Raw genomic sequence first — 23,744 nt, forward strand, 5'->3', positions numbered from 1 at the left:
CCATTACTTTTACTTCACAAGCTTGTTTTTCTGGTTTATTACTCGAACAGAATTAGAAGAGAGGTCATTAGAATTGACACAAGAATTGCATGAGGGAGGAGATGGCCAAGACTACAGGATCAGTAAGTATAAAATTATCCTTGTAAATCAGAGCCTAGTGTCTTTGTGGAACTCCTTAAGGGCATTGCCTGCCCTTTTTTGCTATTTCTTAGATTAGTCGTGTTGCAGTGATTGCTCATAATGACCCCTAATCTTCAAGGAAATGGAAAATTACATTTAGAATATGGTTTGATAAAGCAGAAATGGGCCATATTTTTAAATCAAAAATGATTATAATTACCAATTTCTATAAATGTTAATTTGAGGGATTTAGAAATATTCGTTAATGGTAGACGTTTCTAACCAAGGTTCCATGGATTTGTTTCATGGTGTCCACGAACTTTTAAAAATGAATGTATTCTTTTCCACGAGAAGGCAGAGCATGGGGGAAGGGAGACTCCATAGCTTTCACCAGATTCCCAAAAAATGAGCCCAAAAAAGGTTAAGAACTAATGAATCATATAAGAACACTTCAAGCCAGAGAAGTATATGATTTTAAACTTGGGGATGAGATAGTGGTACTAACATACAAAACAGATTAGCAAGTTGTGATTAAATTTAGATATGTGATGATACTGGAAGCCTCTTGGAACTGCCAAAAACCAAAATGTCAACAAATTAAGTCTAATGACCTAATTGGCTTTTATTAGCAATTTATGAATCAGGCAGCATCCTATCTATGAAATAGAAAGGCTGAGCACAGGAGTGGGCTTTATAGGCAGAAAAAAACAGAAGAAAATGGAAACAAGGAACAAAAGGTGTCTTTATATGGGTTAAAGCAGAGGGGACTTCCTTATGCCAGCTCAGGTTGACGGGGCCCCTTCTAATGGGATACTGTGAATGTTCTGGGTCTTTTTTTTTTCTTTTAAACTGACCTATTTTAAAGTTCAGTTTGATTACGTGGCACCTAGCATGAGTGACTCCATTCTAGTTTGGTCTGGTCTGTTGGGGTCCCCTGTAGGAGCTTAGTCCAAAAAAATGACCTCCCATAAGTTTTATTTAATAGAACATACACAGTTTAAGCTCTGTTTTTTCTAATACCAGCCATGGTTCCTTGCTATCTTCCTTACAGTGCCACAGCCTGAAGTAAATTTGGCCATAAAGTCAGAGGTATTTTCAGACTGACCTGTGCATTATCTCTTCCAGGGCACCCTAAACCAATTTACAAACCCCAAAGTTAAAAACAGTCCATTCTCCAGCCAGCTAGACGAATACCAGCTGCTCACATTGGCACGAAAATCTAAAGTGGGAATAGATTCAACTCCCTCCTGACCACTGAGCCAAACTCTGGGAGTTGGGAAACCATTTGTTGAATGTCTAGGGTGAATGAAAATCAGAAGTTTCAGGGAAGGGGGAAAGAGCCAATACCCTGCTGTGCTGTCACTAAGGAGGTAATAAATCACTCTTAAAGAAGGAAAGCAAAAGCTTGATCTGGAAGGAAAAAAAAAAAAGCCTGCTCTGGTCTGCATGAAAATGTACTTAATCTCTGGTACACAGTTTTAATGAATTGTCTTTTCCAAAATTTCATTAAGGCTATTATTTTCACATATTTCTGACTTCAAGCGATCTTTAAACAAATAATTTTGACTTATAAGTATATTGTGAGAATTTCATATAGTACAGAAAAGAAGGTAAAAACCCCTTTCTCCCCCAAAACTCCCAGTTTCCTTTACTAGAGGTTCACTTCAGATTTTTAGGTATCTTTCCTGAAAATACGTATGCCCTTTTAAAAAAAATACACAAATGAAGAGCCAGGCACATTGGTGTGTGCCTGTAGTCCCAGCCACTCAGTAGGCTAAGGCGGGAGGATTGCTTGAAGTTCAAGTCCAGCCTGGGCAACATAGAAAGACCCCAGAGGTTACAACTCTCTATATATATGCTTAGGCATCTTGCTTCTTTCACTGACTTTTGCAGATAATCCAACCTCATTCTTTTCGGTGGCCACAAAGTATTGTCATTTATGAATCATCACAGGGGGTATTTAGATTAGTTCCCCCTTGGGGTTGTTACCATCAGTGCTCCAGTGCCCTTCCCTGTACATATATCATGCCACATTGTGTGGCTTATATGTAAAAGAAATTCCTAGAAGTGGAATTGCTGCTCTGAAGGTACATGATTTGGAATTTGTGGAACTTGGTAGATATTACCAAATAGTCTTCCAAAAAGGTTGCATTTCTGCCAACAGCATATGAGAGTACCAGTTTCCCTCCATCCTCACTGACACAGGGTTTCTTCAAACTTTAATCTTTTTTCAGACTAATAGATAAAAGGAAATTCATTGTTTTGTTTTGATTTCTTTTATTATGAGTTAAGAAGAACATAGATTTATTTTAAAATAAATACTTGTTGGTTGCTTTTGATTTTAAGAATCAGAAGTCCTTTCTTTTTTCTTTTTCCTTTAAGTACTTTGTGTTACCCATTTCTTATGGTTTCTGTGTTTTCTCTAGAAAGTCATCTTCCTAAATTGTGTAGTAAGTAAAATACATTTTGGGGGAAGATCAAGTTTTCTTTGCATTTTTTTCTTTTGAATCCTTGGTAGCCTAGCGTTGAACTAGTATTTCAGTCGATTCCTCCACCTCTGTGCTTTAGCAAGGTCTTCTGCAATCGTTTTAATCATTTGATCTGTAGTTTCTTTCAAAATGGTTGCTGTCCTTAGGGCATGATCCAAAGCCGAGTTTAAAATCTACAGAGGAAAAGTCCACACATTTTAATTACATAAACTAACTGCTGTTTCTGTTCTTTGGGTTCTCTCATTATTAAACATTACAAGGTGGAATTTGGGGAGTATTCCTGTTTTCCTCTTGGTCTATTTCTGTTTTTGAGGGTTGGTTTCCTAGGAGACCAGTCTGAGATGGAATATATTTGTTAGGGAAAGGGATTGAAAAAAAGACCAGCACGTGACTGATGAGCATGAATCAGAGGGTGAGGTCAGCCGCCAGCTGGGCTGTTTCCCTGCCGCAGAGAAAGAGAAAAAAAGAACAGCTCTTAGAGGCCATTGATGGGGATTGGGGGGCCATAACCACTGAGAGGGTATTCAGGGATACAGCGCATGCGTATGGAAACATTTGAAAGTGGCCTGGGGATTCGAGTTAGTGATTTGAAATAGGAAACTGTTGGCAACTCTGATCACAGTGTCACTGGAACAGACCCAGTGCCTTCAACCCCCGGCCAGGGAAATCCTGTAGCTGAGGCACCACCCACAAATCACTTTCTCCAGGAAATTTCCCTTGGAACCAATTTAGAATAATACAAACCTTGCGACTGCTGAGGCTGTGTGTCTTTAGCTTAGTTCTGAGCACAAAATTGTCTTTAGCAGAGCATTTTCTGAAGCTCTGATACTGTAATAACTTAAGAGCTGCCAGTTCTGTGGGCATCAAGATCAAACTTACGAGCTGCAATGCTTCTCGAATGATTTTCTAAGTCCTCACCTCAGATTTTATTTCTTCAGTGCTATCAAAGTCACATAAGGATTTGCTTCCAGAAATCCTGCAGGAGTAGAAATGGGGTGAGGGTGTTGCAGGGTCTGAGCTGTAGGTCATGAAAGCCTGAAGTTTTTTTCTGGAAGACAAAAGCACATTGATACTTGTGTCAAGCGCCACCCTCAAGCACACTCCTGTTCACGTCAGCTCTGTGGTAGGTAATGGCTCTGTGTGGTTTGGGTGTGGGTGGATTCGTGCACCCGCTGCCCTCCTAGCTCTCATACTCCCATGTGGCTGACCGCAGCTGGGCTTCAGAAAATGGTTGTTGCCATGACCATGCGGGTGTTTTCTCCCGGAATTGATCTCCTTTTCCTCTAGTACAGAAAGAGGCAAGACTCTAAACACATTTTTTATTCCGTTTTCATTCTTTTGGGGCCAACTTTCTTTTTTTTTTTTTAATTTTTTTTTTTTTTTTTTTTTTGAGACAGAGTCTCGCTCTGTTGCCCAGGCTGGAGTGCAGTGGTGTGATCTCTGCTCGCTGCAAGCTCCGCCTCCCGGGTTCACGCCATTCTCGTGCCTCAGCCTCCCGAGTAGCTGGGACTACAGGCGCCCGCCACCACGCCCGGCTAATTTTTTGTATTTTTTTTTAGTAGAGATGGGGTTTCACCGTGTTAGCCAGGATGGTCTCGATCTCCTGACCTCGTGATCCGCCCGCCTCGGCCTCCCAAAGTGCTGGGATTACAGGCCTGAGCCACCGCGTCCGGCCTTTTGGGGCCAACTTTCTACCTTGCATTTTTATAAAACAAATACACAAAACTGCCAATTGCAGGTACCTTGGGTTGAGTTCATTCTGGCACCAGTGAGCTTTCACCCCAAGGAGGCAGAAGCAGTCAAAAAATAAAAGCAGCTCCTTTTGAAGTAAACAGGCTCCCCTTGCCTGCTACACTGTGATTGGTTCTCTCTCAGGGATGGGCCAGAAGTCTGCACTAGGTGAGTGAGGGGTGCAGGGCCACTGGGCTGTTAAGGTTGTGCAGAGCATGGCTCTAGGGGGTTATTTGCATAGTCTGTGAAGGGCACTGCCTGGAGTTAGGCTTTTCTCAAGCATGAGCAGTGGCCCTGAGGGATGCCATGAGAACTTGCCTGTTGACTGAGCAGTCATAGAGCCACCCTCACAGCTTCCTCCGGCTTCAGGTTTCCTCTGTTAAGCATTACTTTGGTGCATAAAACACTTGTGAGGAATATCATCTCCAGAAAATATCCTTTCATCCCTCTCCCCTACCATAGGAGCATCAATTGGTTCTGCAAGTTATTTTAACACATTGGATTGATCCTCCAGGCAAGAGGTGGTCCAGCATCCGGGGCCCCTAACTAATGAAATACTCTGGGCAGGGGATAGCAGAGTGGTGCAGAGTCCTCTCTCTCCCCATATCCCATCAGTCTCCACTGTCAACAGTATAACAGCCATCGCTTGCTGAGTACTTATTATGAGCCTGGTACCATTCTAAGTGCTTTATATGTATGGACTCAGTCCTCAATGAGTTTGGCACCATTATGATTCCCACTTTACATGCGGGGAAATGGAGGCACACATAGGTCAAGGAACCTGCCCAAGGACACAGAACCAAGACAAACCCAAGAAGTCGGCCAGGCATGGTGGCTCACGCCTGTAATCCCAGCACTTTGGGAGGCCGAGGTGGGTGAATCACCTGAGGTCAAGAGTTGGAGCCCAGCCTGGTCAACATAGCGAAACCCCGTCTCTACTAAAAATACAAAAATTAGCTGGGCATGGTGGCGGGTGCCTATAATCCCAGCTACACGGGAGGCTGAGGCAGGAGACTCACTTGAACCTGGTGGGGCAGAGGTTGCAGTGAGCCATGATCGTGCCACTTCACTCCAGCCTGGGCGAAATAGTGAAACTCCATCTCAAAAAAAAAAAAAAAAAACCAAGAAGTCTCCAAAGGTCACGTTCTTAAACACTGTGCTAGACTATGGTGGAGGGTAGTAGGTTCAGACTGAGTGGCTCTGAGTGCAGAGCCTGAATTGTTAGCCACTCTGCTGCGCTATTGGTTCTGTCTCTTAAATAGCTCTTGAATGAATACACAGACTTTTCTCTTTCCATCTCCACCACCCTTGGTCAAGCTGCATCATCTCACCTGAATTATTGCACTGGCCTCTTATTTGGCCTTTGTCCTCCAATCTTAACTCCTCTAATTCGTTTCCACTCCTTCAGTAGCTAGACTGACCCTTTAAAACACTAAGAAATTTTTAAATTCCCTGATTAAAAAACTTAATTGGGTGGGCCTGCCACAGTGGCTCATGCCTGTAATCCCAGTGCTTTGGGTGACTGAGGTAGGAGGATTGCTGAGGCTAGGAGTTCAAGATCAGCCTGGGCAACATAGTAAGACCCCATCTCTACCAAAAAAAAAAAAAAAGTAGCTAGCTGTGGTATCACATGCCTGTACTCCCAGCTACCCAGGAAGCTGTGCCAGGAGGATCACTTGAGCCGAGGAGGTCAAGGCTGCAGTGAGCCAAGATTGCACTCCAGCCTGGGCAACAAAGCAAGACCCTGCCTCAAAAAAAATTTTTTTTTAACTTCACTGGGGGGCCAGACACCTGTAATTCCAGTGCTTTGGGTGACCAAGGTGGGAAGATCACTTGAGGTCAGGAGTTTGAGACTAGCCTGGGCAACATAACAAGACTCTGTCTCTACAAATTTTTTTTTTTTAATGTGCACCTATAGTCCTAGCTACTCAGGAGGCTGAGGCGGGAGGATGACTTGAGCCCAGGAGTTCAAGGCTGCAGTGAGATATGATCACCACTGCACTCCATCCTGGGTGACAGAGGGAGACCCTATCTCTAAAAATAAAAATGAATTAACAGCAAAAAAAAAAAAAAAAAAAATACCCTAATTGGCTTCCTCTTGCTCCTAAGATTCTGAAATACTTCCTGGAGCTGACAAGTCTCTGTACGGTCTGGCCCTGACAATTCCACCAACCTTTCCTCATCAGCCTCATCTTGCTCCACTGCCGCTCCCTCTTTTGGGTTCCAGCCACACCATTCCTGAACTTGCCAAGTGCCTTCTCACAACAGGAAGCTTTCCTAGACTGGAATGTTCTTCACTGCCCCCAGATCCCCTTGCTAGTTCGTTCATACTTATCCTTCGAAGCTCAGCTTCCCTGAGCCCCCAAATTAGATCAATGGGACTTTGTACGTCCCCTTCTTGGCACTTACAAAGACTATGCGGCTTCTCTGCCAAAAAAGTAAGCTCTGTGAGGGCAGGGACAGTGGCTGACTTTGTCCTGTGTTCTCAGTACCTAGTACAATGACTTGGTTTATTGAATAAACAAATGAATGATTGAAGGATTAGATAGGTTTAGGTTTGAATCCTGGCTCTACTCCTAATCATCTAGGTTATCTTGGGGTAGGTAGTTAATGCACTATCAAGTACACTGTATCCACCCAACCAATGAGAAATATTTTGTTACTGATAATGAAATAATACTTACTTTCCTGGTGTGGGCTCATGTTCACCTTTAAAGGATTTTGAATTCACTCTCTGAGAACAGATCCGTTTGGGTTTTAAAAAAGCTGAAAAATGTTAGCTATCATTAAATTCAGAGTATCAAAAATGAGCCCCAAATGGTGCCTATGTATCATTCCTTGAACTTTTTGTATGAATGAAATATTTCATAAAATTTTAATAAATCAGAAAACTGGGAAACATAGACAACAAAGAACTTTTGCTGGGCGCGGTGGCTCACGCCTGTAATCCCAGCACTTTGGGAGGCTAAGGTGGGAGGATTGTTTGAGGCCAGGAGTTTGCGACCAGTCTTCCCTGTCTCTACAAAAAAAAAATTCATAAACCCCTTCCATACTAACTATACATTTTTTGTTAACTTAGCTGGGCATGGTGGCATGTGCCTACAGTTTTGTAGCTACTTAGGAGGCTGAGGCAGGAGGTTCACTAGAGCCCAGAAGTTCAAGGAAGCATTGAGCTATGATCACATCACTGCCCTCCAGCCTGGGCGACAGAGCTAGACCCTGTCTCTAAAAATGAAATTTTTAATAAAGAACTTTCTATGAAGTATTCTGAACTTAGGAAAAGAAATTCAATTTTAAAGGGAGTTTTAGGCCAGGCGTGGTGGCTCATGTTTTTAATCCCAGCACTTTGGGAGGCCGAGGTGGGCACATCACCTGAGGTCAGGAGTTCAAGACCAGCCTGGTCAACATGGTGAAACCCTGTCTCTACTAAAAATACAAAAATTAGCCGGGTGTGGTGGTGGGTGCCTGTAATCCCAGCTACTTGGGAGACTGAGGCATGAGAGTCATTTGAACCCAGGAGGTGGAGGTTGCAGTGAGCCAAGATAGTGCCACTGCACTCCAGCCTGGGTGACAGAGTGAGACTCTGTCTCAAAAAACAAAACAACAAAAAAGGTTTTATTAGCAGATAGAAACCAGGAGTTTAGGTTCCCTGGGTGCTTGCTGTGTGATCTGTGCATGACATCTGACTTCTCTGGGTTTAACAACCACATCATCTGATAAATGGAGAAATAATATCTTCCAAGAGGTTGGGCCAAATGGATTTCTGAAATCCTCTTCAATTTTAGGAGTTAAGATTCTAGGAGTAGAAATTAATGATTATGTTACAAAGACAATTCCAGAAAATAGAGTCTAAACACAGAAGGAAAATGTGGAAAAGTCACCATGGAAAACAAGAAGAAAGACAGATAAAGGAAAAAAGACGAGTCAGTGGCCAAGAAATCTGCCTTCTCTGTCACCAAGGCTCCCTTCTCCCCTTCCCTTTCCCTCTTCTTCTTCTTCTCTCTGTCTTCCCCTCGTTCTCCCTCCAGGTCTCCTGTCTTATTCATTGGTGTCAAGTAGCCAGGCTTCACTCACACTCAGGAGGCTCCCGTTGGACAAAGGATGCTGGGAGAGATTGTCCCTCAGACATGCAAGGCAGGGCAGAAGCCAGAAACCAAGATTTAGTCATGCTGACCACCTAGACTTGGGGCATGATGAAGAGGCACTAATGAGCTCAATCTTGATTCTTTGGTGGTCTCCAAATGTAATTTTGGATTTTACTGGAAACTCAGAGTTAGAAAGCACCACAGTGTCACCTGGTCCGGTTCTAGTCCAGTGTACAGATCTACAGCTTCCAGACAAAATCCATTGCCTTCCAGTCCACAGATGAGCTCACAACCTCCTGCCACAGCCCCCTCCATTTTCTGTCTGCTCTAGTTGCTGTAAGGGTCTTTGTAACCTGGAGGAAAAGCTGCCTCCTTATGACTTCTACCCCCTTAGTTAGCTAATGGAGTTCAAGATCACATTGTGGATGAATCCATTGCAGCCCTCGTTCGTATACTGGCATGACAAGTGTCACAGGCTGTAGACCTCAAAACCAAGGAGATAGTGAAGAAATCTGTCCTGTGGCTTCTCCAGTCTTAGTGACTGTCACTTCAAAAGAATACATGCAATTGGAGGATGTGGCAGCTGGAGGTGGGGAGGGGAGACACAGCTGAGGTCAGTCAGGTAAATGACATTCTTAAGTCTTGGGCACTGACCATCAAGAAAGATAAGAAACATTCTCCCTGGTGCCCTCTCCCAGAGAAGGAGAGGAAGAGCTCTGAAGGTATGAGGCCAAGGATGTAGCGCCTGTCAGAGAACCAGGTATAGCTGTCGTTCAGTGGTAAAACTAGGAGTATTTCCTTCCCTCCTTCCTGTTCCCTTGGCACACTTTGCCCTGCTTTTTGAACTTACCCCATTTTGCTTTGAGCTCTCCTTATTTGGGTATGAGTTTCTTTCTTTCAAGAGCTTGGGAAGGAGCAGCCATGTCATTCATCTTTTTAAATATGTGTTTGTAGGGTTTTAATTTTTTTTCAAAGACAGCAAATTTTTGCATTGGAAGTTAGCAACATGATGTCTATGGAGTGTAAAAATAGTCTACTTCTCTACATGCTGACTCTTAGTAGGGATATATGTAAAGCATTAGCCACCTCTGAATAGTAACAATAATAGTAGTGATTATCCAGTAAGTCATTTATTTGTTCAGCAAACATTTATGGGTTGCTACCAACTTGCACTGGTGTAGCCCTTAATAACTTTCAAAGTCCTTGGTCACTGCGATTTCATATTTTCCAGCCCCAGCTCAGCCTCTTGCCATCCAGATGTAGGGCTGGATTTGGAAGTGTCAGGTGAGTGCACAAGACCTGGGCAGCAAAATGGAGAGGCCAGGGCTTCCCAGATGGAAGCAGTGGCCAGTGTCATGTGAATGTCCCATACCTGGGACATTAGGTTGTTGATATGGATGGGGTCATGCAGGAGATGTACTTACAGGGTGAAGAGTTTTTACTTTCATCTAAAGAATGGGGCTGGACAAAGGCACCTCTTTTGCTATGATTTGAGTAATTCTGTCCTGGAGTGTTGTATCTATAATGAAATTCTGGGAAGAAAAGATTAAAAATACAGTTAATTGCCTGGGAACAGTGACTGTCCCCACTCGCCTTTCTGAGGCCCCAGGTGAGTGTTACCTTTAGTTGGTTCTTTCCTGCAGGCTCTTCGGGAGGTAGGAATCTTAGTGCCACAGTCCTGACATTTGTTACTCTGCATTTCAGTGCCAGAATCAGAACAGAAGCTGTGTCCTGTATCAGAATCTGAAAAAGCCCAAGTTGCATGAATGAAGGGTAAGTGTCTTGATTATAGTCATAAAATACGGTGTGGAGAGCAGAGCTGTAACTGTGCAGGGTATGTGTTTGGCACCAAAGTGCTTAATGTCCCGGCTGTGTCACCAAGAGGAGTTGCCAGCCTGGGGTAACATTTGGGATTCCCTTCTGACAACTGAGAAATGTTTTGATAATTAACATTTCTTGTATGAAAATCTCAAGATGTAGCATACATATTTAGGCTTAGTAAAGGTCTGCTGAATGAATGGATCTGCGGCAATTTGGCCCACTGAACTATCAGACAACCTTGTATTTGTATTTGTTTTTCCATAGTTGGCCTGATACATCCACATTCTTTCTCTCAGACCCTGCTGTGGCCAAGAGCTTGTATTTTGTCATCCAGACAACTGGAAAGATGGGTTTCTTCTATGTGACATTCATAAGCCTATAAGGGAACCTGAATCATGACTTTGCTCTCTTAGCCTCAAAGAAGCTAGTAGCAGACAGCATGTGTATCTGGTGCAGGTCTAGAACCTGTCTGGCAGGCTGTGGACGGAACAGCACTCCAGGTAAGGCCAGAGTATGAAAGCCTGGGGCCAGGCGGGTGAGCATGTCAGGACTGAATGTCCAAGCAACATCTCGCTGCAGGACAGATGCTGCAGTGACAAAGCCTCTTCCAATGCTTCTTGCCTTACTGAACTCATGGTTAGACTCATTTTTAACATTAAAGTGAAGTCATCCCTGGCTGACATCTTGACTTTTAACATATTATACAATATATAGTAACTTCATTGTATAATAACAAATCCATTTCATATTAGCAAATGGAATGAGTTTGAAGGCCCAGGGTTGAAGCCTGGCTCTGCTACTTATTAGCTATGATGGTTGAAAATATGTTTACAAATTCTTTAACGTGCTATTTTTATTTTTTTTGAGCCAAGGTTTCATTCTGTTGCTCCCAGGCTGAAATGCAGTGGCTCAATCATAAGCCTCAACCTTCTGTGTTTTTTTTGTTTTGTTTTGTTTTTATGTTTAAATATTGGGTCCCTATGTTGTCCAGCCTGGTCTTGAACTCCTGGGCTCAAGCAATCCTGGTTCAGCCTCCCAAAGTGCTGGGATTACAGACATAAGCCACCACACCCAACTGACACTCTTTAAAATGTAGAGCCTAATTCCTCTCTCCTTGAGTATAGGCTGGGTTTAGTGACTCACTTCTAACAAATAAAATAAAGCGGTAGTGATGGCATATAACTTCCAAACCTAGGCCATGAAAGACACTGAAGCTTCCATCTCGGTATTTCTCTCTTGGATCACTTGCTCTGGGGGAAGCTGGCTGCCATGTCATAATGACACTCAAGCAGCCTATTGGAGAGGCCCACATGTCAGGGAACTGAGACCTCCTGCCAATGCTCATGTGAGTGAGCCATCTTGGAAGCAGATCTTCCAGCCCCAGTCAAGCCCTCAGATGACGGCATCCTTGGCTGACAACTTGACCAAACCTCATGAGAGACCCTGAGCCTGAACCACCCAGCTAAAGTGCTCCCAAATTCCTGACCCACAGAAACTCTAAGATGATAAATGTTTGTTGTTTTCAGCCTTAAGTTCTGGGATACTTTGTTACACAGCTATAGATAGCTAATACACTCACTCACACTCACTCTTTGGTCCTGTCAAGTCACTTAATTTCTCTGAGCCTCTAGTTCCTTATCTATAAAATAAAGATAATCATTCCTGCATTACAGGGATGTTGTGAGAGTTATGTGACATACACTGGCAACAGTTTTCAAACTTTTGATTCCAGAACCCTTTTACACTCTTAAAATTGAGGACCCTAAACAGCCTTTGTTTCTGTGGTTTTAATCTACCATAAAATGATAATATATACCATTTTATATACCTGAGGTGAAAATCCCCCCTCATTGGAGAACAGCTAGCATTCAACATTCAGTCCACTGCAGATGGATTGGTAGAGAAGTACTAATGTATAGATTACTAGTCATTTTTTGCTTGTGCAAATCATTTAGATTTCCCAAAACTAAATGAGCAGTTCCAAGGCGCTTTTTTTTTAGAATTTTAAACTGAGAGGTTTAAAAGATAATTTTATTTATTATGGCATTTAAAAAGTAATAAATCCATGTCATATTAACAAAATAGCAGTTTTTAATGAAAATAACTATTTCTAAAAAATTTAGTGAGAAGAGTGGCATCATTTTACGTTTTGGCAAATATCTTGAATATCTGGCTTAATAAAAGGCAACTGGATTCCATAACTGCATCTCCATCAGTTGCCTGTAATACTAGCGTTGCACAGCTATATGGCTGGTAAAGGAAGGACCTGGTGGCCCCCCCGAAAGGGTTTCAGGAAACCCCAGGGACCCTCCGATTACACCTGGAAAACTCCTACTTTGTTATACCATCTGGCATAATACGTCTTCAATCAATGAACCCTATTATTATTTGGAAATGTGTCATCTACAGAGAAGCCAGTGCAGAACCAAGTGTGACATAACAGAAGGCAGAGCTGGAGGCATGGCTCTGGGCCACAGGCAGTGCAGATGTAAGAAAGCCTGGGTAGCTCTCCAGTGCAGCTTCCTGGTGCATAAGCTGGGGAGACAAGCTGGGTAGGTAGGTTAGGCTCAGAGGTGATTTTTAAGCTCAGAAGCTGCCTGAGCAGAGGCCTCCAGCCCCACCTCTTCTCCCAGGGCAGTTCTGCTAGATGTTTCTCTCCTTAAACTATCTTTGAAAAAAAGGATCTTATGACTAAAAGCCATTGAATTGCGTGTACTGGGGCACCTCCCAGCTCCAACTTTCTTTGCTTCTATGAAATGCATATATCCAAAGCAGCAGCAATTCTCACGTAGCCAGTAACCTTACCAGGTACAGTTATGGGTCATGTGGGAAGGATGAGGATGGACAGACTGAATGACATCTTGTGATTGAGTCCATGGAGTCCTTCATTTTCAGCTAGAAACAGGTGTTCATGCTTTACTCTACTTAACCACATCTTATTGAAAGTGATTCTTTTTTTCTTTTCTTTTCTTTTTCTTTTTTTTTTTTTTTGAAACAGGGTCCTACTCTGTCGCCCAGGCTGGAGTACGGTGGCATGATCATGGCTCACTGCAGCCTCAACCTCCCGGACTCAAGCAATCTTCCCACCTTAGTCTCCCAAGTAGCTGGGACTACAGGCGTGAGCCACCACACCTGGCTAATTTTTGTATTTTTTTTGTACAGATGGAATGTCACCATGTTGGCCAGGCTGGTCTTGAACTCCTGAGCTCAAGTGATCCACCCGCCTCAGCCTCCCAAAGTGCTGGAATTACAGGCATGAGCCCCCATGCCCAGCCTATTAATTCTTTACATTTTGCAAATAAATAAATACAACATGCAACATCCTAGTGTAGGGAAATGCTCTTGGAGTGGCAGATGGCAAGCTGGTGCCTACTGCGAGCAGACCCCATGGGGAGGGACACTGAAAAATGAGCACCCAGCCCAAGCCCATCAACTTACTGGGAGTTGAATCTGAGTGTGGTGCCTTTTCATGAAGGACAATTGAAAATCTTCCACAGTTGATCCTTCCGTGGCCCTTTTTCTCCACGTTTTGCTTCCTAAAAAAAGGTGCATAAGATCCTGTAAACTTTTAGTGCATTTCCAATAGATAGGGAAAGTTTTGGTAAAGTTGAAACGTTAAATTTTGTTATATTAGAGCCTGGAACAGTGTAGGAGGGGCTTGTCATCCTCTACACAGAGCTCTCCTCTGCCTGCCTGTTTGAGAGCTTTTCTACAAGAAATTGCACCCCAGCACAATTTGGCCTGATAAGAAAATGTATACAAGACAGGCCAGGCGCGGTGGCTCACGCCTGTAATCCCAGCACTTTGGGAGGCTGAGGCGGGCGGATCACGAGGTCAGGAGATCGAGACCATCCTGGCTAACACGGTGAAACCCTGTCTCTACTAAAAGTACAAAAAATTAGCTGGGCGCCGTAGTGGGTGCCTGTAGTCCCAGCTACTCGGGAGGCTGAGGCAGGAGAATGGCGGGAACCCGGGAGGCGGAGCTTGCAGTGAGCCGAGATCGCGCCACTGCACTCCAGCCTGGGTGACAGAGCGAGACTCCTACTCAAAAAAAAAAAAAAGAAAATGTATACAAGACATGAAAAATAAATGTTTTGTTCTGCCGAGGTTAATATCTAATCATCACATACACATTCACAAAACACATTTGAAGTATGGAATTATAAAATTTGGAGTTTTCCTCATGCATCAAAATCCATTCCAGGCTGGGTATGGTGGCTCATGCCTGTAATCCCAGCACTTTGGGAGGCCAAGGAGGGTGGATGGCTTGAGACTAGGAGTTCAAGGTCAGCCAGGGCAACATGGCAAAACCTCATCTCAAAAACAAACAAACAAACAAACAAACAAACAAACAGTTCCTACCAGGGGAAGAAACTATGCTATACGTCAGTAATGGGTCACGTAGCTTTGGTCCTGGAAGTACAAGCTGATTACATCCAACAACTCCAGCAAAGTGGGCTTTGCCGGGTGTCTGTGGGACTAAAGGCTGAGGGAGCACGTGAAGGTGATTTTAGTTGCACATGGCCACCAGGTGGCGTCAGAAAGAAGCAACTGCAATGGACATTGTTCAGGAGCCTTCCTGTGGCCCACCTGCAGCTTCCTCCCTCCTCCTCAGAAATCCCAACTCCTCCAAAGGAATTCGAATTAATAACAGTTCTGAACAAAGCTCTTGCTAAGCTCCTGGGATACAGTCATAGCCCCCAGGGAAAGTTGTTCATTCTTAGTATGGAAGGCACTGTGCCCGAGATATCCTGGCATAAATGAGGCAGATTGCCCAGGGCTAGGGTTTGAGCCCAAGGCATTGCTGGGCAAACACATGCTCGCCGCGCTGTGCCCTGGCCTGCTGTTGGCGGAGAAGGGATGGGGCTGCGGGTTTGTGGGGCTGGGGCTGAGAAGCCAGGCTCTTTCCCTCCTCTTGGAAAAACATGCTGTCCTCTTGAGTCACATATTTTCTCACACCTCATTTTCTGTCTCCACCCTTCTCCTCTGGGGCATTTGAACATCTGCTCTCCAAAGTGGGAAACTTGGATCTCACTCAAGTGCATGCAGTCCAACACAGGACTTTTTCTGCTTTTAAACTCCTTTGTGTACTCAAATCTTCTGGCCAAACATAATTCCTCTGGAGAAGACAGTTTTTCAACAAGACAAAGCAGCTAAAGTACACACTTAAATCCAAAGTTTTGCATCAGAAATAACATAAAGGGATAAGCATATTTTACATTTTATACATATGTAATTTATCCACTTATATATAAACAATTTACAAATATCCTGAAAACAGTATGTACCTCAGCAAGCTTCATAAAGGACAAGTCCCATCAGAGAGAGATTTAATCTTCTAACAGAAAGAATATATAGTCCTCCCTTCAATCAATAATTCCTCAGGGATTATGTAAGTTACAAGATTTTAATTCATAAGTCATGTGTATCTTCTCATCACTCCCCAGCAGTGGATTCACTGTGAGATTTGATTTTACACTTGGTTGTGCTTGTCTTTCCAGCTTGTCTATCATAAAAAAGTATTATTTAGTCTGGAACATTGGTCCCTGTCTTGGTACTTAATGTACTTCTGTAGGGTCTAGACTAGGAATTTAGAAGAGAGAAATTTAGTACCTTGAGTGCTTAATAAAAATGGTTCTTTAATGTCAAAATACTTTCATTATACTTAGTAAAACCTTTAAAAATCCAAAATTAGACTTTAATTCAATAAATAAAAATAGTAGGCCTGGGATGACTCAGTGAGTAAGCTTCATGAGTGCCCCTTGGATTAAAGGGCAGCTCAAAGCTGATGACTGACATGGTGGTTTAATGACCCACACACAATGACACATGACCATTTTTAGCACGAGCTTCATGCAGTTTCTTTTTTCAGGGGTGGACACTCATTAGAACTCTTAAGGCAGGTGCCCATTCCCACAATGGAATGCTTTCTAACAGGAAGCCTCAGTCTTTCAGACCCTGTCATCTGCTTCTATTAGAATCCATTACGTACATATAACAGTGGTTGCTAAACACCTGCTGCCTCCCTGACTCTTGACCTTCCAAAGGTCAATGAGCCGAGCTTTGGCCGGAGTCCACAGTGAGCTTAGAGGTAACATCTCTCGCTACCTGAAAGAAGCTTCAAATAAATGATACTGAATCGACACAGATTAATAGTTGCACCAATGGGTGTTTCAAAAACAAAGGATTTCTCCTGAGGATTTTACATGATTTACAGCTTGTTAGCTCTGGAAGATTTCGTCCTTAGGAATGGGAAGAAATCAGCCCTGAGAAGAGGGATGAGGCTTGTTCCTGGGACTGGGGGGCTCAGGTGAAACCCAACAGAGAAGACTTTTGCTCATCATAAGGAGAGAGTAGGGATGGTGGGAGCTGTTTGTTATACAGGATAAGAATCCCCCATGTGGGCAATGATCAAAAGCCTACAGGACCACCCTCCGTGGGCTGTAACCATGATTCTTAACCAAGGGGGCTTATCGGAATCACCTGGGGAGATTTAAAAGCAATATTCCTACCAGAGCCCCACCGCTGGCGATGCTGAGACAGTAGGTGGGATGGAGGCATGTGCATGATTGTAAAATCTCCCATGGTGATTTTGATGGTCTCCCCAGTTGAGGACCACTGCTAGAGGATCTGTAGGGTGCGAGGGAGGCTGGGCTCTGTGCCCAGGCCTGAGATCTGTGACTCTATAACTCAGCCAGTGGCCTCAGTTAGTTGCCGCCCACTCTCACTGGAGTTACTATGCCAGGACTGACTCCAATCCACCCTGGGAATGTAGCCACAAGAAGCCCTCACCATTCAAGGAGCCTGCGACAGAAGGCACAGCTCGGACTGGGTGCCGTCATCTCTGCACAATCCTGCCTTCTTGGAGTGCCGTTGGGATCCTCCTGCGCCACAAAGCACACAGATGGAGATGTGATAGAGGATGTGACTCACGCCGCGGCTGCACACGCACAGCCCAGCAAGCAGCTGAGGTCCGGCTGAACTTGCCACCTCAGGCAGAGAGACTCGCCAAACCTCTCCTCCAGTTGGGGAAAGGGAGGCGCAGGGGGACAGGAGGGAAAGAAGAAAGAGCCCATCCTTAGTTCTGATGTGTCACTCAGTCGGGGCTGCGCCTCTAATGGCCTGGGCTGAAGAATGGAAGTTTCCACCCTGGCTTGCTTCCTTCCTCCTCTAAACAGATTTTAAAATCTGGTGTACAGATGACAGAATACTCTCCCCTTTTTATCTTTCCCTTAGTTTCAAATTACTCCAAGCTTCGCCAGATAATGAACAGATTTAGGAACATAATTTTTAGATCTATTAATCTGACCGCTGGCTAGTAGAGCTCTAAAAGCCTTTCTAAATAAATATATTCAACTATGAATTAAAACAGGGTTTAGGGACTGTCTGGGGGCCTAAATGATTGGTTATATGTCCCTCTTTAACACAAAACAATTACTCCACTGACCTGTGAGGGCTGTTACCACCCACTGTGTATTTTTGACTAAGGTCTTACCCTTTATGTAAGTAAAAAATAAATGTACTTTTCCCATCATTATAAACAATGGCAGAAGCATCATTGTACACATAGCTTTTTCCACATCTTGGATTACTTCCTGAGGAAATGTCTGGGCCAAAGGTTGCGAACATGTTTGTGTGATGACCCATATTGCCAAATTGCTTTCCACAAAAGTTGTACAGATTTCACAGCCACCAACAGTGTGGACGGCTCAGTTTGACCACACCTTCCTCTGCATCAGGAATTATCACTTGAAAATGTTTCTGTTAATTGAAGGGAGGGGTGTGTCACCTTTTGTGTTAATTTGCATTTCCTCTGTGACTAAAGGAAATAAGTCTGTTCCTATATGCTGATTTATTGGTTGTATTTCCTACCTGTGACTTTTTTTTTTTTTTTTGAGACGGAGTCTCACTCTGTTGCCCAGGCTGGAGTGCAGTGGCCTAATCTCAGCTCCCGGGTTCAAGCAATTCTTCTGGCTCAGCCCCCCAAGTAGCTGGGATTACAGGTGCCCACCACTACCCCCAGCTAATTTTTTGTATTTTTAGTGGAGACAGTTTCACCATGTTGGCCGGGCTGGTCTTGAGCTCCTGACCTCATGATTCGCCCACCTCGGCCTCCCAAAGTACTGGGATTACTTTAATTGTGAGTAATTGTGTGAGCCACTGCGCCCGGCCTTACTTGTGACTTTTTAGCTCATGTCCTTTGTCCATTAATTTTCTTGGAGGGTTTCAGTGTTTTCCTGTTACCATTTGCTAGTTGTTCATGATGTGCCAGGTGCTTCCCTTATAGTCTCCTTAATACTTCCAACCATCCTGGCACGTTGTCGCCATTTTAATGGTGAGTGATCTGAGGCCTGGCGGATTTAAGCAATTTGGCAAGGTTGCATCATGAGTAAGTGGGAAAGCTGGGATTTTAACTTTTACCTATCTGACTGGTATGCTGTGTTCTTTTTTTTTTTTTTTTTTTTTTGAGATGGAGTTTCTCTGTGTTGCCCAGGCTGGAGTGCAGTGGCGCAATCTTGGCTCACTGCAACCTCCACCTCCCTCCCAATTTCAAGTGATTCTCCCACCTCAGCCTCCCTTCCAAGTAGCTGGGACTACAGGAACACACCACCCCACCCAGCTAATTTTGGTATGTCTTAGTAGAAACAGAGTTTCACCATGTTGGTCAGGCTGGTCTCGAACTCCTGACCTCAAGTGATCCACCCGCCTTGGCCTACCAAAGTGCTGGGATTACAGGCGCGAGCCACTGCACCCGGCCAGTATGCTTGTGTTCTTAACCACAGTTCTGCTCCTTGGGGAATTTGTCACAGCATTTGATATAATGAAGTTCTCAACAATGAACATTATTTGCCCTTAATATTTTCTCAGTTGTCTATCTACATTTTTTTTAATTGATGGTGGTTTCAGTTTTGTAAACAACTTAAAATATCAATATTGTCAAGGAGGAGGTGCGAGTGGCCAAGAAACATATGAAAATAGATTGAGTTTCAAAAATAGCAAGATTAAAATAATGAGATATCAGTTTTCACTTATGCATTTGGCAAAAGTTGGAAAAAGAAAAAAATGTCTGGGGTAGGCTCAAACTGGGGACACCAACATTCCCACGCACTGCCCTCAGCCTATAAACCCCCATGGACTTCCTAAAGGCCAGATTATCAGAATTTTCAGCATGTACCATTTGAACCATTAACTGCAATCCTAGGGTTTTATTCTAAGGAAATGATCAACTACAAATGTTTGCATGTCAAATGATGTTACCTGAAGCAGTGTTTATGATATCAAAGAACTGGAAAAAACTAAATCTCCATCAATAAGAGATTGTCTAAATGTGTCAGAGTACATTAGTATAATGAAATATAGTACAGTCATCAAAAATGAAGCGATAGTTTATTCTAAGTGATGTGGAGAGCTGCTCAAAATATAACATTAAATGAAAAGCATAAAACAATATATATAGTAAAATCCTATTTTGGCCAAAATGTATATATAGGAGAAAAAAAGACTGGAAGGATATACACTAAAATATTAGCAATGGGCCAGGCGCAGTGGCTCATGCCTGTAATCCCAGCACTTTGGGAGGCTGAGGTGGGTGGATCACCTGAGGTCGGGAGTTCTAGACCAGTGTGGGCAACGTGGTGAAACCTCCTCTCTACTAAAAATACAAAAATTAGCTGCACGTGGTGGCACATGCCTGTAATCCCAGCTACTCAGGAGGCTGAGGCAGGAGAATCACTTGAACCCAGGAGGCAGAGGTTGCAGTGAGCTGGGATCGCACCATTGCACTCCAGCCTGGACAACAAAGCGAGACTGTCTCAAAAAAAAAAAATTAGATTGATTTTCCTCTCAGTGGAAGTTTCTTCTTTATACTTTTCTTTATTTTCTCATTTCTCTTGTAATAAGCATGTATCAGTTTTATAATTTAAAAAAAAAGGGTTTTTTCATCCATTTTTCCCATGGTTTTTTTTTTTTAATTTTTATATTTTATCATTGCTGAGCTTACAGGGTTACTCCTCCACTGACATTTAAGGCAGATTTACATTAGCAGAATGCAGGGAGGTGCCCCTCCACCTGAGTTGGAGACCCGGGCATCACCTATCATTTACCCTGAACAAATATCACCTTTCTAAACTACTCTTCCTCTGCAAAAAGTCTTTGCAAACTGTAAAGCTCTGAGCCAACATAATTATTATATCATTGTTTACTGCTTATTATAATATTATAATATAATATCATTTAAGACCCCGGGGTTGGTAATCCCAGCATTTCCAATTCATTCGAAATGAAATAATCTCTAGACCCTCAGAATTTAAAATGTGGTCCGCAGACCAGAACCAGCAGCTTTGGCATCACCTGGGGCTTGTTAGCAATGCAGAATTGCAGGCTCGCCCCAAACTTACTGATTCAGAGCCTGCATTTTAACAAGATCTGCAGGTGATTCATAGGCTCGGAGAAGTTGGAGAAGCTCCGGTCTAGGTACGCCTGCCGAGATTCTCAGGAGTGCAGAAAGTGGGAAACCGTCAGCAGTACCAGCCATCACCAGCACTGACACCCAGGATGCCATTAGGAAGAGGTAAGTGATCTTGATTATGCCAATTTCACAGTCACATTCAGCAACACTGGTTTTAGTTAAAGAGCCAACAATGAGAAGAACCCAGCCAGGCCCCGGCTGCAGGACATTACCCCAGAGTTAGAAGACAGCCTCATGGCCACTTGGTCTGGCTTGTTCTGGGCAGCTGCATCTCCATAATGACCGTTTAGGTAACTAATTTAAAAAAAAAAAAAGCAGTTTGAATGTTAGAATCAGTTCTTGAGCTACCTGGGAGCTCCACTATTTGGAATCACTTGGCATCACCCCTGGGATGGTGGGAGCGAGCAACCTAAGGCAGAGAGTGCTATGGGCCTCATGCGGCCACTTGACCTTCACCTCTCCCCGCGTCCCCCAGCCCCAGCTGTCCCGTCCCTCAGATCTCTGCCCAGAGGGTTGCAGAGGCTGGCCAGGCCCTGCTGGTGGGGCAGGTGAGGAGCCAGGCTACCAGGCTTTGTAACTCGTGGTCCAAGACTGCTTTTCCTGTGGGAGCCTCATGGGCCTTCCTGGAGGCTGCATGAGGAAGGGGCCTCTTTCTGTGTCCTGTGTCTGCTGGGGCTCCAGGGCTAGGACTCACGTCTGCGGGGCCAGCTCACAGAGCTCCTCGTTGGGGGCCTCCTGCGGCCCTCCTTGGGGTGTCCCTGTTACCTCACTCCCACCTGAGCCTCGAGGCCCAGAAGGGTGGCCGGGGTGCTCCTTGGGAATCTGGGGGAGCCACACAGAAAGACTTGAATTAGAGCCACAGTCCCACTGGAGGTGACTCAAAATCAGTTCAGCATCCCTACAGCACCCCTAAGGCACCATAACATCCTGCCTGGCGTCCCCCCACCCCTGTCTCCCCCAGCTCTTTACCTAGCTGTCTTCTCATCCTCCAAGACTCAGTCCAAATCTCACCTTCTCTGAAAAACCTTCTCCCTTAGTAATTCAAACCTTCTGCATTTAGTTACTTTTGGTCATATCCCATTACTTAATAGTCATGATAGCTAACACCCAGGAGTAATGTACTCACTGTGAGCCAGGCCCTATTTTCAGTACGTTACTTATATTAACTCATTTAAACATCATAACAGCCCTGTGAGGCAAATATTATTATCTGCATTTTACAGAAGAGAGAACTGAGGCACAGAGAGGTTGCATAACTTTCCTAAGATCACAAAACTAATAAGTGACAGAGCCAGTATGTGAACCCAGGTAGTCTGGCTTCAGAGTCACGCAGAATGTATTATTATTTTCTGCACTGTGCTTTTTAACATTTCATAATTATATGTTAATTTAATTTTTTTTTTTTTTTGAGATGGAGTCTTGCCCTGTCACCCAGACTGGAGTGCAATGGCGCAATCTCGGCTCACTGCAACCTCTGCCTCCCGGGTTCAAGCGATTCTCCTGCCTCAGCCTCCCAAGTAGCTGGGATTACAGGCGCCCGCCACCACGCCCGGCTAATTTTTTGTATCTTTAGTAGAAACGGGGTTTCACCATGTTGGCCAGGCTGGTCTCGAACTCCTGACCTCGTGATCCGCCTGCCTCAGCCTCCCAAAGTGCTGGAATTACAGGCGTGAGCCACCGCACCTGGCTTAATTTGTTAAGTATATGTCTCTCTTACAGAAATGTAAGCATCTTGAGGGCAGGTGATTTGTTTGTTGTTCATGTTTTATCCCCAATACCTAGAAAAGTGCTAGCCTATAGCAATACATACTGCTGAGTGAATGAAGGATGCCAGCACTAGACTCTTTCCAGAACCACTTACCACAAAGTTATTTAGAGAGTTCTCATCATTTCACAACAGTAGCTGTAAACTTGGGACCAAGTAAAGAAGAGCAGATCCAGACCCCAGGGAGCTGCCAGGTAGAGGGCAGGGCCAACCCTGAGGTGGCCTCACAAAGACTTGTGACTCCTGCAGGTCCAAGACTAGCAGGGCAGCCGCTGTGAGCCTGGAAACTGCTTGGGTGCCTTGAGATGGGCTGTTACATCCACGGTGGCTCAGGGCTTCCTCTATGAAGCATCGACTCTCCTGGGCTTTCAGCTGGACATTCAGGATTCAAAGATGAGTGCAGAGTCACAGAGACAAACGAGACCCAGTGCTGCGGGGACACAGAGGCCGGGGCCAAGAATTCCTCCAGGTGCGGGGGATTGGGGGGCTTGGGGGTGAGGAGGGTGGCTGACTAGGGATGCATAAATGACCTGACGCTAGAGCTGGGCCTTGAATGAGTGAGATTTTGCCAGGCAAGTAAGTGCTTTGAGGAGGCAAACACTTCTTCGGAAGGGCTAACCTTGACATAATCTTTGTCACTTTGTCCTTCGCTTTGACAAAATCCTCATTCAAGTTTGAATATCAGCCCCAGGCTGTGTCTTCAAATACTGTATGAAACTAAAGAGTCAATTTAAGGTATTTATTTAAATGATTCTGTTTCTCAGAATTTTGATTTTAGTCTGAATGTTCTGATAGTTGAGGCTACAAAGGCAAAAAGTATAGAAAGACAGTGGTGGTTAATTTGAATTCCCAATCTTGCATAAGTAGAAATCCAAAAGAATTTAACTTGAGAGAAGGAAAATGCAGAAGTGGATTCATGGGAAATAATTATTTCACTGAGTGTGCTATTCTTTATTTTCAGGTGGCTCATGCCTGTAATCCCAACACTTTGGAAGGCCAAGCGGGCGGATCACTTGAGGTCAGGAGTTTGAGACCAGCCTGGCCAACATGGTGAAACCCCATCTCTACCAAAAATATAAAAAATTAGCCAGGCAGTGGTGGCATGCACCTGTAATCTCAGCTGCTTGGGAGGCTGAGGGAGGAGAATCACTTGAGCCCGGGAGACAAAGGTTGCAGTGAGCTGAGATCGTGCTACCACACTCCAGCCTGGTGAGTACAAAACTATGAAGAAAAAAAATTATTTCTTCCAGGCATGATCTACAAAA

General features: G+C 44.1%; 1 protein-coding gene and 1 long non-coding RNA gene across 6 annotated transcripts in view; one reads left to right on the top strand and one right to left on the bottom strand.

Moving 5' to 3' along the window:
* Positions 1-69: 69 nt before the first annotated feature.
* On the top strand, positions 70-23,688 carry LOC105378891 (uncharacterized). Of its 4 annotated transcripts, none has more exons than XR_947687.3 (5): positions 70-122; positions 10,130-10,198; positions 20,670-20,816; positions 22,729-22,948; positions 23,441-23,483. It is a non-coding gene; the product is annotated as an uncharacterized LOC105378891 (long non-coding RNA). The 4 variants fall into 4 exon arrangements; XR_007066273.1 differs by lacking the exon at positions 70-122 and adding an exon at positions 3,655-3,732 and having other exon boundaries at positions 23,441-23,688; XR_007066280.1 differs by lacking the exons at positions 20,670-20,816; positions 22,729-22,948; positions 23,441-23,483 and adding an exon at positions 10,511-11,155.
* AKNAD1 (AKNA domain containing 1) overlaps positions 2,381-23,744 on the bottom strand; it is a 42,344-nt gene continuing 20,980 nt past the window's right edge. Inside the window, exons 8-16 of one of the 2 annotated variants that reach the window (NM_152763.5) lie at positions 21,409-21,536; positions 20,927-21,008; positions 17,039-17,130; positions 13,685-13,782; positions 10,046-10,168; positions 9,850-9,957; positions 7,025-7,106; positions 3,528-3,657; positions 2,381-2,782 (exon numbers count right to left, since the gene is read on the bottom strand). In NM_152763.5, the coding sequence (NP_689976.2) occupies positions 2,651-2,782; positions 3,528-3,657; positions 7,025-7,106; positions 9,850-9,957; positions 10,046-10,168; positions 13,685-13,782; positions 17,039-17,130; positions 20,927-21,008; positions 21,409-21,536 (975 nt within the window). In that variant the 3' untranslated portion in view covers positions 2,381-2,650. The remainder of the gene's footprint in view (positions 2,783-3,527; positions 3,658-7,024; positions 7,107-9,849; positions 9,958-10,045; positions 10,169-13,684; positions 13,783-17,038; positions 17,131-20,926; positions 21,009-21,408; positions 21,537-23,744) is intronic. The other variant, NR_049760.2, reaches the window with a different exon arrangement.

Source organism: Homo sapiens, chromosome 1 (assembly GCF_000001405.40).
Source record: "Homo sapiens chromosome 1, GRCh38.p14 Primary Assembly".
Lineage (NCBI taxonomy): Eukaryota > Metazoa > Chordata > Mammalia > Primates > Hominidae > Homo > Homo sapiens.